Genomic DNA, 17,251 nt, shown 5'->3' on the forward strand with positions numbered 1-17,251 from the left:
AACTCTAGATGATATGAATTGCATGTCCTTTGTGGAAGCTCTCTTTAAGGTAGACTTTGACAATAATTTAAAGATCACTTGAATGGCATAATACATGGAATGTGTCCTGATAAGAATTACTGAAACAAATTTGAAATATTATTTGGTTCCAATAGAGTAAACACTAATAATCTGATATAGGCTTCCAAGTGGCTTTCAATACTATTGACCCCCATGCCATAATAATTTACTCTGAACATCTGTCAGACATTTTTCCTGATTTTCACTAGGTGACTGCTTTAAATGACTGCCTCTTACCCATTGCTTAATGATCTGGAATTTGTTCAAAGTTTTTCAAATTCTTAGAAACACATGGTTTTTTTTGGTTAGCACTGTTTACTTGAATCATCTGTCTCTATTTTGAGATACCATAATTTGACCCTCCATGAGTAAATTTGACCCTCCATGAGTAAAGTTGACGGTGTTCACATATATTTTTCTCATCTTCATACTTAGGCAAGCCAGCTGCTGACTAATCATCACAGCCAAGGGTAAGTACAGTTTGGCTACCTGAGAATTTTAAAAACAACTTCTAACCAAAATTACCATAAAAATTAATGATTGTTCTGTAAATTGCAATGTTTTGTTTGACAGGTATAATAGAGAATATTCTAATACAACTAGAAATGTGGTGAGGTCAATAACATCATGAAATGAATCTATATACTTCAGGGAATTCACGAATAGACTGTAACTATTTATATTTTCCTGGTTTCTTCAAAATTTTGATATGAATGTTCAAGATCTAAAAGCAATTAGTAGTGTTTCTACATCTTGACCTTCTCATTTTCTAGTGATAGCATGAGATGGCTTTGCCTTTTGTAACAAGCCAGTTTTTAGAATCTTATTGAAATAAATAAGTTTTAGACAATTTCTAATTCTTCCCAAAATCTTCAGGATCTGAAATATACAAAAGTACTCTTATCTCTCAGACAAATCAAGAGTTTACCATTACCAATACATACAAGGAGAAGAAGAAGAGGAAGAAGGAAAACAAAAAACAATTATTGACTGCTCTATTTCTGGGCACTAAAAAATATATGTTGTGTCAATGAATGAGAAATGAGTGAAAACTTGGCAACTTGGCATATTTTCACATTATTTCCTTATATATCCATCAAAATATAAACTATGTCTAGATTTAAGAAAAACCCAGCTATATTTTATGACAATGTCCAAAAGCATGAAATGTAGGAAGACTACTTTACAAATCACTGGTAATTCTGTGAAAAAGTGATGGATAATTAAGAAAAACAGAATAGCTTAACAAAATCTTAAAAATGTCTAATACACAAAAACGTCTACGTAGATCACAAAGGCTTTATTGGTGCTTTCTAAAGGCATTAATGCTTCTCCCTGAACATGATTTGCAATCTCTGTCACAGTAGTTGCTTGTCTTGTGTGTGTGTGTGTGTGTGTGTGTGTGTGTGTGAGCATGTTCTTCAATACCTGTTAACCCTTTTGCTATTCAATGTGATCACCAAAGAAAGCTCTGAAGCAACAAAATGATTTCCTGTGACAGAGGTGCATGGCATTATAAGCAGAAAGACACTTGAAGCCCCTAAGAGAATGAGTGACAGATCTAGGGAGCAAATGGTGGTCTTGAGGATACTACATAAAGTGAAGGTACCAGAGCAGACTTGTGAAGTGCTGAGAAGAGTTTTGATAAAAGCAAGCTAGAGGCAAATTTGGCCTATTTGAAAATTTTGATGAGGTACAGCCCAGTGTCTGCCTGCAACTAATCTTATCGGGAATAGATTCCTATGAAAATCAAACAACGGTGACAACACAACTAGAAAAGGTAATGCTGAGGAATGCAGATTACTTGCTGCAGTAATGTCCATTATGCAAAACTGGTTGTTTTTAAAGCTTAATTTCTAATCTGGGACACAAGATAATAATTTTTAATTCTAGTAACTACTCTGTATTTAGTTACACATTAAGGGAGTTCTATAAATGACCCATCCTGCTGCTTTTGAGACCCTGAAGATGACCTCTTCATTGTAGAGCAGGTATTTCTACCAATTACTTAGGGCATCAAATCTCACTGGTTTCATGTCCTCTGCAAAGGAATAAGCACTACAGAATGAGACTGAGAATTTCCTGATAAGCTAAATTACAAGTGAAATTTTGACTTGAAGAAACATTTCTCTCCCATTTACCTAGTAATTTTCACTCTGTACAATTCATTTCAAAATGGCTTTCTTAGAATCTGGCATTTCAATAAATCCACTGCAAAATTTTACCAGTTATAAAATGTTTTTCACTAAGCAACTCTTAAGTCTTAATTCATATGACATGCCAAGAGGTGGCTAGAATTTTCATTACATCCATGTTTCTGATGGAAAGAACTGGGGCCCAGAAGATCAATCTGAGTACCAATTTCACCTTCTTAATTTTCTTTCCCATTATCATGTCCTAAACCTTCATCTTCTTTAGCAAAATTGCTCCCTGAAGTGAAATTCAGCCATCAATTGTAAACTAGAACTATCGAAGGCTTCTACTTCACTTATTCCTGTAAGACTAGAAGTAGCTGCAACATAATGAGCAAACGTGATGTATTATCCTTCTATGTCAATAAAACAGGACAGGCAGTCAACTGTTCCAGGCACAATTATAATATTAGTGAATGCAAAGACTATGTGTTGAAATGGAGATGTTTTTATTAACTATTTTTTAGCATGTGTCCTTCTTGCATCTGTTTTTCTGACTTAAGTATTCTAAAGGTGGTCCAACCACTTTGGAAATTAGTTGTGCAGTTTCCTAAAAAGGTAGACATGGACTTACTAATTAACCCAGAAATTCAACTCTTAATTATATATACAAGTGAGATGGAAACATATTTCTACATTAAAACTTGCACATGAATACTCACAGAAACTTTTTCAAAATAGGCCCAAATTTGACATAATGCCAATATTCATCAATATGTGAGTTGAATAAACAAAATTGCTGCATATCCACGCAATGAAATATGATTCAACAACAAAAAGAAACTAATGAATCATGCCACAACTTGGAATTAATAAAACAAAATGATGCTAAGTTACAGAAGTAGACATTATATGCATACATTTATTAAAATTCTGTAAGAGGAAAAACCATGAGTATGGAAAGCAGAGCAGTGGTTGCTGAGACTGAGAATTAGGCTGGAGGAGCAATTAAGTGGAAATAAGTATAAGAAAATTTTTGAGGGTAATGGAAATGTTCCATTTTCTTTAAAGGAAAACTATTGATATATTTGAAGATATTAAAATTAAAATGTTAATATATTTAAAAACATTGTGAAAAGACAAGGCACAAAGTGGGACAAGATTCTGAAGCACAATTCATAAAGGAGTAGTATCCAGAATATATAAAGGACCACCTGAAAATTAATGAGAAAAATGGGCAAAACTTTAACATACTTCGTTCAACATAGCATACTTCATTGGATTTCATTCAAGATGAAATCCAAATGGCCAAAAAATTTATGAAATGTGATCAGCCTTATGAACACCTTTCACATTTTTTCCATATAAGGACAATGCTCATTTAAACCACAATGTGATGCCATTATCTATCTACCAGATTGGGGGGTTGGGGGAAAGTCAATACACCCTGGGGAGAATGTAAATCAGTACAAGAGTCTTTGGGAAACAGTTTCACATGATCTAGGTTCCACTCTTACGTATATGTCCTTTTAAAGATGCAAACTCCAGAATACATGTTCAAAATATCCATAGTAGCACTGTTTGAAATAGCCCCAAAGTGGAAAAAATCCAAATTGTCCATCAAGAGTAAAATGAAAAATAAATGGTAATATAGTCATACAATGGAATAAACACACTAGAGCTATATACAATGATAAGGATTAATCTCATAAGGCTTAGCAAAAGAAACCAGTCTCAAAAGTATACAATATAATTTGATTCATATAAATTCCTTAAATAGAAAGTAAATATGGTCTTTAGAGACATATATATGGGTGATAAAACTACGAAGAAAAGCAAAGCAAAGAGTAGGGATGGTGTTAAAGTGGACAGAGAGGGTTGTGTTAGGGTGGGACATATAGGGAGCTTTTGAGGTGTTGGAGATGTTCTATTTCTTGACCTGGTGGTCACATGGTGTGCACATTATGAGTTGTTAAAAAATATATATGTGTGTGTGTAGGTATCTGTTTATAAATGCATACATATATGTTTCATGTATGTTGTCTATATTCCACAATAAGAAAATATACAAATGACCAGCAAATATGAAAAGACATCGAATCTCGCTAGTAATTAGAAAAACAAAAGAATAAACATGATCACCTATCATGATTTGCCGAAAATGTAAAGACTGATAATATCCCTCTTTGCTGAGGTTGCAAAGAAACAGGCATTCTCATAGGCTCTCAATAGGAAAGTAAATTAATAACTCCTTTTTAAGAACAATGTGGTAATATGTATAAAAATGTAAAGCTCATCTTATAAGTTTTAAATTCCAATTCCAAATACCTAGCCTAATTAAATCCACATGCATTCAAAATATGTGTACAAAGATGTCTGCCATTCACTACAGCATTGTTTGCAGTAGTGGAAAAAAAGAATAAATGTCAATATGGGAAGATTTGTGAAAAGTACTATAATCCATACAATGAAATACTATGCAGCCATTAAAAATAAATCTTTGTAAACTGACATGGAAAGATATCCAAAACATATTAAGTGAACAAAAGCAAGACACAGAATAACACACAGATAGCCTAATCCTGTTTTTAAAATATAAATATGTACATATATTTATATAGAGGTCTGAAAAACAGACTATGCATTTATGCTGTAACCTGTTAGCAGTGATTACCTCTGAAACGTTCCATATTTTGAATGTGGTATAATCGGGTATAGACATTTGCCAAAACACATCAAACTCTATACTTAAGTGTGTTCATGCTAATATAGGTAAATTATTTCTAATATAGATAAATTTCATCTATTATTCTAAAAATAATTCTAAAGGCACTCAAATATAAATAGAAAAATGAAAGAAAGTGGCATTGTAGGTAATGTGGGTTCTACCCTTTTGGCAAATATTTATTGACCATGAGGCACTACAAATTTTCCGTGCTGAACACTAAGATGAATGAAACTAGAGTCTGCAAGGAAATGCAAACCAGGCACACAATAAAATGGACATCTGATATTAAGTGTCACAAAAGACAAGACATCCTGAAAGTGTTCTATCATTTCAGCTTATTTCAGAGCATGTAGCGCAGAACCTGACACATAGTAGGCATTCAACAGTATTGTTGAATTGATAGAGCCTACACCACACAAATTGACACTGACTTTCTTATTTCTATGTACTTGGAGGAAAATTGAGAGTACAGTATACTGGGTCCAGGATAACATAATAGATAACTGTTTTAGGTACTATATTGGATAATACAGATTTAGAGATATGTAATATGCTATCCCTGTTCTTTAAAAACATAAAGCAAAATACTTTACAATCTAGGGGAGACAAATGCATACAACAAACACATAATGTGATTATAAAATGTTGTAACTGTATATACCTGGAATGTGTACATGTGTGCCTGTGTGTGTGTGTGTGTGTGTGTGTGGCTACTTCCTTGTGCCTTAAATAGAAGATGACATAGACCCACCTGTGTGTCCTCTCCTCCCCAAGCACATAGCCTTCTCTATTCTGTTTCTCATTTCAAGTTTTTTCTTATTTTTCTCTTTCTACCTGGAATGCCCTTCATTTTTTGTCCCTTGAATAACACCCTTCAACGCAGCCCTCCATGACAAATCCTTCCATCTCACTTCAGCATAGGATGGATTAGTAAATGACTGCCTCTTTAGTGCTCCTATAATGTTTCTTTATTACTGCATTTATCACAGTGTTTTATAGTCATCTTCTCTGTTCCATAATCAATTTCTTTCTACTAGACTATTAGTCTTTTAGGGGATGTATTTTACTCTTTTATCCTAGCAAAGAGCCTGGTACATGAAAGACAATAAATACCATGTTGAATGAAAGAATGAAGAATTTCTAATTGCATACCAGCTTTCCATCATGAACCACAAAACATTTGCATCTCCTCTTCCATGGAGCCAAAATAAGCTGGAGATACAGGATATTAGCAGCTCTTGCTCCAGGAGCCAACTGAGTTTGAAAACAGTCTTTTGATGCTCTCCATCAGTGAGCTAAAATACTTGGAGAGAACTGTCTCCTACTGTGGCCTAGAAGTCCACGAGAACCCACCTGAGGACCCAGGCTGACCATGATCCTTTCTGTCTGAACCTTTAATATATTGAGGGCTTTTCCAGAGTTTGTACCTCTGACCCTGACCCTGCCTCAACTCTCAGTCTTTAGTCCCTGGGACCTTGAGGGGAAGGGAGATGCTGTCCATATTTTTATCAGCTAAGGGGAACTATATTCCTGTTTTGTTCCTTTAAATATCATTTCTGGTGAACATAACTTAATGATGTTTTTTTCTTCCTTTCAGACAAAATTTCCCTAGTGTACCATTCCTCTGACATTCTTAGTGTCAATGCTCCCCATTCCACTTAGTCGCTAAAGCTTTCTTTTTTTTTTTTTTTTTTTTTACAAATGGACAAGAATTGCCATACACTACTCACTGTTTAGTTAATTCCTGACTGCCAGCGTTCTTTCAGGCACTATTTTAATTCTCTGTGAGGACTCTCAGATCCTCTCCACCAGCTCACTTCTTTACTCTCAAATGGCAGTGTTAATTGTAGAGATCAGCCCTGAAAGCTGTTCAAATTTCAGATCTCCTCTGCCACAATTTGTCCCTATGGAATCAGATTCAGATTTCATAGAATTATCTTGCTTCTGCCGGCTAATCCCAACAGGAAATCCACGGCCTCACCTGGCCATGGTAATGAAGTTTGAGAGGTACCTGCCCAAATAAACAGATCAATGAACACCTTCTGCCCACAGTTTCATGTGCTATTCTAGACACTGAGCCTCTCAGGGGCACTGTAGCACTGTTGCTATTTTAATATGTAAATACCTTGTCTCTATTCCAGGAATCCCATGTTGCATCAAAGAAATGGAAGCAGGGCTCAGACCCTGCATGGTAGAGGGGGCTCTGCAATTTAAAGGGTTAACTTTCTGCAATGTTGAGGAGTCGCATAACTTTTCACGAGAACTGATGAGTAGATATGCTAAAGTAACTAAGTTCTGAAAACGTCTAAGAAAAATACATGCAGAAGCAGGCAACTGCAACAGACACAGACATGAACCACTCGGATCTACCTTCAGGAACAGACTCTGGCCCAGCTGCAGGAGTGTGGTGAGCTGACTGCCTCTAACTGCTTCCTCCTTTAGGTGTGCCTCGCTTTTAAACTGGGGTCATGCTCCTTTCAGGGAGACCCCAGTGAATGATAGCAAAACTGTAGTACAAGGGTCTAGCTATTTCCGGTGAATGTGGGACTCCTCTAATAGGCACTTTTTGTCCTGAAGCTCCCTACTGGGCTAGCAAAGACTTTTCTTGTGTCTGTATCAGGGTCCAATGGCTCCCCTTTTCCAATTTTGCTTCCACTTTTTTCCTTTCACAAGCATTTCTCTCCAATAAACCTTTGGCCCTCCTAACTCCCTCTCTGTGTCTGATTCCTGGAGGACTCAACTGACACAACAGTTCTCTACTTGTATGAAGAATTCTCCCTGTAAGAGGATTACGCTATATTCTAGGAAAGTCAAAGAAGAAAGAAACTTGCCCAAGTGACCCCAGGATATCTTACTGAGAGGAATTCAAGAAAGCTACGCTGAATCCAAACGAATCTCTCAAATTTCTTCTGAATTCTAGTTCTACCCTTGGCTTGACAGAACAAGGTCTCTTGGAATGTCCTGAATACAGTTAAGCCTTGTTGGTGACCTACCCAGCAATAGCCAATATATGCTCAGGGGAAAGAAAAGGTCCAATACCAGGAAGCAGGGCTAATTTTTTTCCTAGAAAAAGACTGCTTTTAGGGACATGGTAGGAGACAATGATTGAGTGACCTCTGCAAAAAGACAACTCAGAGACATCCTTAAAGAGTTTGGACACTTACTTGATCTTTTGATTCAGAACTTGCTCAAACTCACTATTGTGATGTGGGACTCTGGAAGCAATTGTGCAAATGCCCATGGATAAAGGACATGATGCCTTTGTGTCCGCAAGACAAAATTATCCATCAAGGGAGGATGGCCAGAGGAATCAGTGTAGATGCTAATACTCATTCCAATTCTTTGTCTCTTACAGATGCAATCAATGACAAACCCTTTAAAACATCACTGAGAGGCTGGGCACATTGGCTCATGCCTGTAATCCCAGCACTTTGGAAGACTGAGGAGGGTGGATCACTTGAGGTCAGGCGTTCAAGACCACCCTGGCCCACATGGCAAATCCTTGTCTCTAGTAAAAGTAAAAAAAAGAAAAAAAAAAACAAAAAAACAAAAAACCAGGCATGGTAACACATACCTGTAATCCCAGCTACTCAGGAGGCTGAGGAATGAGAATCCTTTAAACCCAGGAGGTGGAGGCTGCAGTGAGCCGAGATTGCGTCACTGCATTCCAGCCTGGGAGACAGAGCAAGACTCTGTCTCAATAAAATAAAATAAAATAAAATAAAATAAAATAAAATAAAATAAAATATCATTCATTGAGAGGTCAGATGAAACTTCTTCCAGGTGTGTTGGGCCTCCAATGCCCTCTGTTCTGAACTGTACTCCATTCTAATGTCTGCCTTAGCTTTCATAATCCATTCTGCTTGTTTGAAGTCTAGTTCTCCCTTTCCGCTATCTGTACTCTACATTTCTAGACTTTATCCATTGTTCACTTCTTTCTGGATTGGATCCCTCTGAGCCTCTATGCCTGCCTGAATTGACCTAAAGTTGCCTACCTTGCACCCAAAATTGATCCATGACTTGTCTGTCACTTAGGGGCAGCCATTCCTTTCTGCCTTATAATGTTTTTCTTTACCTATGGTGTATATTCCCAGGTCTATTTCCCTTGTCTTTAATTTTATCATGTTTTTTTTGTAAAACCAAGATTGACACAGGTTCCATAGGCCTATCTTCACAGGCAAACAAAAAACTCTTCGAGAGCCATACATTGGCCATATTTCGCAGTAATTAGGACACCTCCAAATCTTCTACATTAAAGCATTTCAGAATAGTTTATTCTTTTGTTGAATCCTTTATACTGGGCCAAAAAATGAGCTTGAACTTTCTTTATGTGTGGGATATTATTTATCTTTAAATTAAAATGCTAGTTTTATCTACCATACAAAAAGGGTGTCATCCATAGTTTGCTTATTAATGAGGGTATGCAGCATAATTTGGAAGATCTTAATATATGCAGAAACAGGTCATGTACACATTTTCCTGATACCACCAGTAGGTGTTCAAAATTGTGGACCAGCTGAGCCAAAATGAACCCCAGCAGGTTTCCTAATCATTGCTTAGAACACATTAAAAAGACCTCAGTGGGTTATGAAATATAGGCAGCTGCTTGCCCTACTATGTATGGATTCATTTTGGATAAGGGCAAGTGTGTATGTAAATGTATAATAAGGAGTTTTTATTCTTTGCAGACTTCAAGCAGCTTGGCATTTGTTTTCTTAATGCAAAGCATTAGTGTAAACAGTATAACAATTTATATTTTATACATCTGCTGGTCTATTCACTTAGCTTATGTATTTCAGTGCTAGACTTAGAAAACAACCACAAGCATAAAACCTCAGTATTTTTATAATTCCATATTGAAGTGAATGATTAACCAACACAGGGAGGAAGCTAGTGTGGGGCACCATTCTGCCCTGGAGCACCCACCATGCTGATACATTTAGGATGAAGAGAGTCTAGGGAAGTCACGCTTCTGTCCTGGGAATGTTATGAAATCCAAGCAAGAAAGAATTACTATTGAGGCAATTTTAAATAACCTATCAGAGAAAAACTGCAATCCCTTGGCAATGAATGGTTCCGACTAAGGAGAACTCATCCATAACAAGTTGGTATAGTTCTTTAAAGAATTTCAATTTTCAACCCAGAATTTCATATCCAGCCAAACTAAGCTTCATAAGTGAAGGAGAAATAAAATACTTTATAGACAAGCAAATGCTGAGAGATTTTGTCACCACCAGGCCTGCCCTAAAAGAGCTCCTGAAGGAAGCGCTAAACATGGAAAGGAACAACTGGTACCAGCCGCTGCAAAATCATGCCAAAATGTAAAGACCATTGAGACTAGGAAGAAACTGCATCAACTAACGAGCAAAATCACCAGCTAACATCATAATGACAGGATCAAATTCACACATAACAATATTAACTTTAAATATAAATGGACTAAATTCTGCAATTAAAAGACACAGACTGGCAAGTTGGATAAAGAGTCAAGACCCATTAGTGTGCTGTATTCAGGAAACCCATCTCACATGCAGAGACACACATAGGCTCAAAATAAAAGGATGGAGGAAGATCTACCAAGCAAATGGAAAAGAAAAAAAGGCAGGGGTTGCAATCCTAGTCTCTGATAAAACAGATTGTAAACCAACAAAGATCAAAAGGGACAAAGAAGGCCATTACATAATGGTAAAGGGATCAATTCAACAAGAGGAGCTAACTATCCTAAATATTTATGCAACCAATACAGGAGCACCCAGATTCATAAAGCAAGTCCTGAGTGACCTACAAAGAGACTTAGACTCCCACACATTAATAATGAGACACTTTAACACCCCACTGTCAACATTAGACAGATCAACGAGACAGAAAGTCAACAAGGATACCCAGGAATTGAACTCAGCTCTGCACCAAGCGGACCTAATAGACATCTACAGAACTCTCCACCCCAAATCAACAGAATATACATTTTTTTCAGCACCACACCACACCTATTCCAAAATTGACCACATAGTTGGAAGTAAAGCACTCCTCAGCAAATGTAAAAGAACAGAAATTATAACAAACTATCTCTCAGACAACAGTGCAATCAAACTAGAACTCAGGATTAAGAATCTCACTCAAAGCCGCTCAACTACATGGAAACTGAACAACCTGCTCCTGAATGACTACTGGGTACATAACGAAATGAAGGCAGAAATAAAGATGTTCTTTGAAACCAACGAGAACAAAGACACAACATACCAGAATCTCTGGGATGCATTCAAAGCAGTGTGTAGAGGGAAATTTATAGCACTAAATGCCCACAAGAGAAAGCAGGAAAGATCCAAAATTGACAACCTAACATCACAATTAAAAGAACTAGAAAAGCAAGAGCAAACACATTCAAAAGCTAGCAGAAGGCAAGAAATAACTAAAATCAGAGCACAACTGAAGGAAATAGAGACACAAAAAACCCTTCAAAAAATCAATGAATCCAGGAGCTGGTTTTCTGAAAGGATCAACAAAATTGATAGACTGCTAGCAAGACTAATAAAGAAAAAAAGAGAGAAGAATCAAATAGACACAATAAAAAATGATAAAGGGGATATCACCACCGATCCCACAGAAATACAAACTACCATCAGAGAATACTACAAACACCTCTACGCAAATAAACTAGAAAATCTAGAAGAAATGGATACATTCCTCGACACATACACTCTCCCAAGACTAAACCAGGAAGCAGTTGAATCTCTGAATAGACCAATAACAGGCTCTGAAATTGTGGCAATAATCAATAGTTTACCAACCAAAAAGAGTCCAGGACCACATGGATTCACAGCCGAATTCTACCAGAGGTACAAGGAGGAACTGGTACCATTCCTTCTGAAACTATTCCAATCAATAGAAAAAGAGGGAATCCTCCCTAACTCATTTTATGAGGCCAGCATCATTCTGATACCAAAGCCGGGCAGAGACACAACCAAAAAAGAGAATTTTAGACCAATATCCTTGATGAACATTGATGCAAAAATCCTCAATAAAATACTGGCAAACCGAATCCAGCAGCACATCAAAAAGCTTATCCACCATGATCAAGTGGGCTTCATCCCTGGGATGCAAGGCTGGTTCAATATACGCAAATCAATAAATGTAATACAGCATATAAACAGAGCCAAAGACAAAAACCACATGATTATCTCAATAGATGCAGAAAAGGCCTTTGACAAAATTCAACAATGCTTCATGCTAAAAACTCTCAATAAATTAGGTATTGATGGGATGTATTTCAAAATAATAAGAGCTATCTATGACAAACCCACAGCCAATATCATACTGAATGGGCAAAAACTGGAAGCATTCCCTTTGAAAACTGGCACAAGACAGGGATGCCCTCTCTCACCGCTCCTATTCAACATAGTGTTGGAAGTTCTGGCCAGGGCAATCAGGCAGGAGAAAGAAATAAAGGGTATTCAACTAGGAAAAGAGGAAGTCAAATTGTCCCTGTTTGCAGACGACATGATTGTTTATCTAGAAAACCCCATCGTCTCAGCCCAAAATCTCCTTAAGCTGATAAGCAACTTCAGCAAAGTCTCAGGATACAAAATCAATGTACAAAAATCACAAGCATTCTTATACACCAACAACAGACAAACAGAGAGCCAAGTCATGAGTGAACTCCCATTCACAATTGCTTCAAAGAGAATAAAATACCTAGGAATCCAACTTACAAGGGATGTGAAGGACCTCTTCAAGGAGAACTACAAACCACTGCTCAAGGAAATAAAAGAGGACACAAACAAATGGAAGAACATTCCATGCTCATGGGTAGGAAGAGTCAATATCGTGAAAATGGCCATACTGCCCAAGGTAATTTACAGATTCAATGCCATCCCCATCAAGCTACCAATGACTTTCTTCACAGAATTGGAAAAAACTACTTTAAAGTTCATATGGAACCAAAAAAGAGCCCACATCGCCAAGTCAATCCTAAGCCAAAAGAACAAAGCTGGAGGCATCACACTACCTGACTTCAAACTATACTACAAGGCTACAGTAACCAAAACAGCATGGTACTGGTACCAAAACAGAGATATAGATCAATGGAACAGAACAGAGCCCTCAGAAATAATGCCGCATATCTACAACTATCTGATCTTTGACAAACCTGAGAAAAACAAGCAATGGGGAAAGGATTCCCTATTTAATAAATGGTGCTGGGAAAACTGACTAGCCATATGTAGAAAGCTGAAACTGGATCCCTTCCTTACACCTTATACAAAAATCAATTCAAGATGGATTACAGATTTAAACGTTAGACCTAAAACCATAAAAACCCTAGAAGAAAACCTAGGCATTACCATTCAGGACATAGGCGTGGGCAAGGACTTCATGTCCAAAACACCAAAAGCAATGGCAACAAAAGCCAAAATTGACAAATGGGATCTAATTAAACTAAAGAGCTTCTGCACAGCAAAAGAAACTACCATCAGAGTGAACAGGCAACCTACAACATGGGAGAAAATTTTCGCAACCTACTCATCTGACAAAGGGCTAATATCCAGAATCTACAATGAACTCAAACAAATTTACAAGAAAAAAAAAACAGCCCCATCAAAAAGTGGGCGAAGGACATGAACAGACACTTCTCAAAAGAAGACATTTATGCAGCCAAAAAACACATGAAAAAATGCTCATCATCACTGGCCATCAGAGAAATGCAAATCAAAACCACAATGAGATACCATCTCACACCAGTTAGAATGGCGATCATTAAAAAGTCAGGAAACAACAGGTGCTGGAGAGGATGTGGAGAAATAGGAACACTTTTACACTGTTGGTGGGACTGTAAACTAGTTCAACCATTGTGGAAGTCAGTGTGGCGATTCCTCAGGGATCTAGAACTAGAAATACCATTTGACCCAGCCATCCCATTACTGGGTATATACCCAAATGACTATAAATCATGCTGCTATAAAGACACATGCACACGTATGTTTATTGTGGCACTATTCACAATAGCAAAGACTTGGAACCAACCCAAATGTCCAACAATGATAGACTGGATTAAGAAAATGTGGCACATATACACCATGGAATACTATGCAGCCATAAAAAATGATGAGTTCATGTCCTTTGTAGGGACATGGATGAAATTGGAAACCATCATTCTCAGTAAACTATCGCAAGAACAAAAAAACAAACACCGCATGTTCTCACTCATAGGTGGGAATTGAACAATGAGATCACATGGACACAGGAAGGGGAATATCACACTCTGGGGACTGTGGTGGGGTGGGGGGAGGGGGGAGGGATAGCATTGGGAGATATACCTAATGCTAGATGACGCGTTAGTGGGTGCAGTGCACCAGCATGGCACATGTATACATATGTAACTAACCTGCACAATGTGCACATGTACCCTAAAACTTAAAGTATAATAAAAAAAAATAATAAATAAATAAATAAAAGGAATTAGGAAGGGAAAAAAAAATTTCTTCCCACTGCTGCTGTAGGAGCTGGAAAGAAATATCTAGGCCATTTTGTTTGTTTGTTTGTTTGCTTGCTTGTTTTTGCCAGCTCTGTGGACTGATATCCCTTTTTGAGGTAAATACTCAAAACTAAATACTAAAGGAAATAATAATACTAAGGAAATACTAAAGTGGGTGACTTTGGTAGAAGTCTTTGGTGATAATGTGGGATAGAGAAGGCTTTAAACATGACCTTTTGTAAGTGTAGTATTCACAAATTCAAAATGAAATTCATGGATACTGGATTTTATCTAAAATCTTTAGCAATCTTGAACCTAAAAATCCTTGAATATATTTATTACACTCATGTGGTGGTTTATAAGCATACATGTCATAAGGGGTGTGTCTGTGTAAAAAGAGAGTTCTCTATTTTAATCTTTCAGGTGTCAAGGAAAGGAAACATGGCGAGGTTACCCCATTTTGGGGAGTTTATTACAACTATACATGGAAAAATAAAAAAGTAAGTGAAATGTTTTTGGTAAAGGAAGGGCTAGGCCTCTGGGGATTGGGACACCATAAATCATTTTGTAAGACATACAGCAGCTCTAAAGAGCAGCTCCTGTTTTCTTGTTGTTACTTTAGGAATGGGTGTCTATTGTTTTAAGGATTAAAAACTCTGCAATACGAATACATCTGCTCTTATTTCTCAGCATCTCTTATTCCATTTCTACTTCTACTCACTTTCTCCTTTTTCCTATATTAGCTTTTTGGTTCTCCAATTCAATTTTTTTCAAAATTGAGTTGAACTTGGTTTTCCGATTCAATTTTTTTACTATTTTTTATATATATATGCATATATATGTGTGTGTGTTTATGTATAGGCATATATATGTGTAAATATATATGTATATATACATATCATATATACACGTATATATATCCACATATGTGTATACATACATATGTATATATGTATACACATTTATATACTTATATACATATGTGTATATGTACACGTATATATACATATGTGTATATGTACACGTATATATACATATGTGTATATGTACACGTATATATACATGTGTATATGTACACGTATGTATACATGTGTATATGTACACGTATGTATACATATGTGTATATGTACACGTATATATACATATGTGTATATGTACACGTATATACATATCATATATACATATATGTGTATATATACACGTATATATACATATCATATGTACATATGTGTATATATACACATATATATACATATCATATATATACATATATGTGTATATATACACGTATATATACATATCATATATACATATATGTGTATATATACACGTATATATACATATCATATATACATATATGTGTATATATACACGTATATATACATATCATATATATACATATATGTGTATATATACACGTATATATATACACACACACATATATATACATATATATATAATATATTTAAAAACAAATCCACAGAGAACAACACTCAGTACAAATAGCGTTCTTTATATTTTGGCTGTCTGAAATTTGACTTCCCTTCCTATTTGCAGGAAATTTAAATCATATGAAGCATTGGTAGGACACAGGAACTATCCCCATTTCGCAAGTCTTTGAAAAGAGGGTCTTACTCTTTCTACTGTCTTGCAACCAAAAAACCAGTACATGATCTAGGCCTAGGCAACTGAAGATCCAGCCCAAAGTTTTAACCTCACAATCAGAAAAGTGGTTAAATTGTATTTGTGGTAGTGTGTTGTGCAGCATCTCCTGACAGTATCCCATGATGGCAGTAGTGGTGGATATCAACCCTGGTAGAGGCTGTATTAGCTGGACAACTCTTGGTGTTCATTCTCTGAGCCTTTTCGTTTTTTGCCCATTTTCTAAGCCTGCTGTTCCTGCCTTCTTTGATTCCATAAGCCATCTTGTATCCTGCCAATAAATCTCCTTTCACTTCTGACAGCCAGTCAGTTTCTGTTGCTTGCAATTAAGAGTGTTAATTGATACAGGCAGTTGGCCACTATCCAGTGTGGAGTGACATTATTGCCTGGGTTATGGCATCACACTTCCTGACAAGTTGCTGACCTCTTTTTATTTAGTCTCCAAGTGGTTGCTTTTTGCTCAGGGATACAATATCTGGTCCAATAAATTGTGGTCAAGGTAGCCAGGACACACACTTTTACGGCAGGTGTATGCCAAATACTGCTTCTGTTTACTTTTCTTTAGAAAGGAGCTATTGGCCTGGCCGAGCAGGTCCTTAGTTTCATGGACTATGTGGAAATTACAAGAGTAAGGCATCAACTTTGTCCTCAAAGAACTTACAATCAAGTTATAGTTTCAGTTGTGACACTTAAACTATGTCAGGTTCAGCAGAATATAAAAATGGCCTTTAGAATTACAATACATCTCTATTCCTCTATAAATCATTTAGCATTTTAATATGTCATAATGAGTAAGCCCTCATATAATTCAGGAGACCCTTGCAGAAAGAAGTGATAAATATCACCCAGATCCAGGAAAGCTTTATTTGAAATGTATTAACAGTGGCTATGATTTCTACAAGATGGATATGTAGACAGAGAACAGTAATATAGTCCATAAGGGAAAATATCTTGAGGCACTGAAGTTAAATTAAAATATGATCTCCCTTTCATTCTCAATACCTGCATGATTACCAATTCGACAAGGATCTTTCATTTATCCCAACTCAACTTTACAGAAGTGCCTGAAGCCTACATTGTTGATAAAACAGTTGATGAAGTTTTCATGGGGGAAAAAAATCTTTAAAGTGCTTGATATACAAAATCATATTAGTACTAAAACAGATGGGTATTTACTTTTGCAATATTCAACAAATGCAG

General features: G+C 36.5%; 1 protein-coding gene and 1 long non-coding RNA gene across 7 annotated transcripts in view; one reads left to right on the plus strand and one right to left on the minus strand.

Moving 5' to 3' along the window:
* DPYD-AS1 (DPYD antisense RNA 1) overlaps positions 1-15,061 on the plus strand; it is a 227,033-nt gene extending 211,972 nt beyond the window's left edge. Inside the window, exons 4-5 of the long non-coding RNA NR_046590.1 lie at positions 496-530; positions 14,813-15,061. This is a non-coding gene — a long non-coding RNA (DPYD antisense RNA 1). The remainder of the gene's footprint in view (positions 1-495; positions 531-14,812) is intronic.
* DPYD (dihydropyrimidine dehydrogenase) overlaps positions 1-17,251 on the minus strand; it is an 843,317-nt gene that overhangs the window by 230,152 nt on the left and 595,914 nt on the right. The window lies entirely within an intron of this gene.

Source organism: Homo sapiens, chromosome 1 (assembly GCF_000001405.40).
Source record: "Homo sapiens chromosome 1, GRCh38.p14 Primary Assembly".
NCBI lineage: Eukaryota > Metazoa > Chordata > Mammalia > Primates > Hominidae > Homo > Homo sapiens.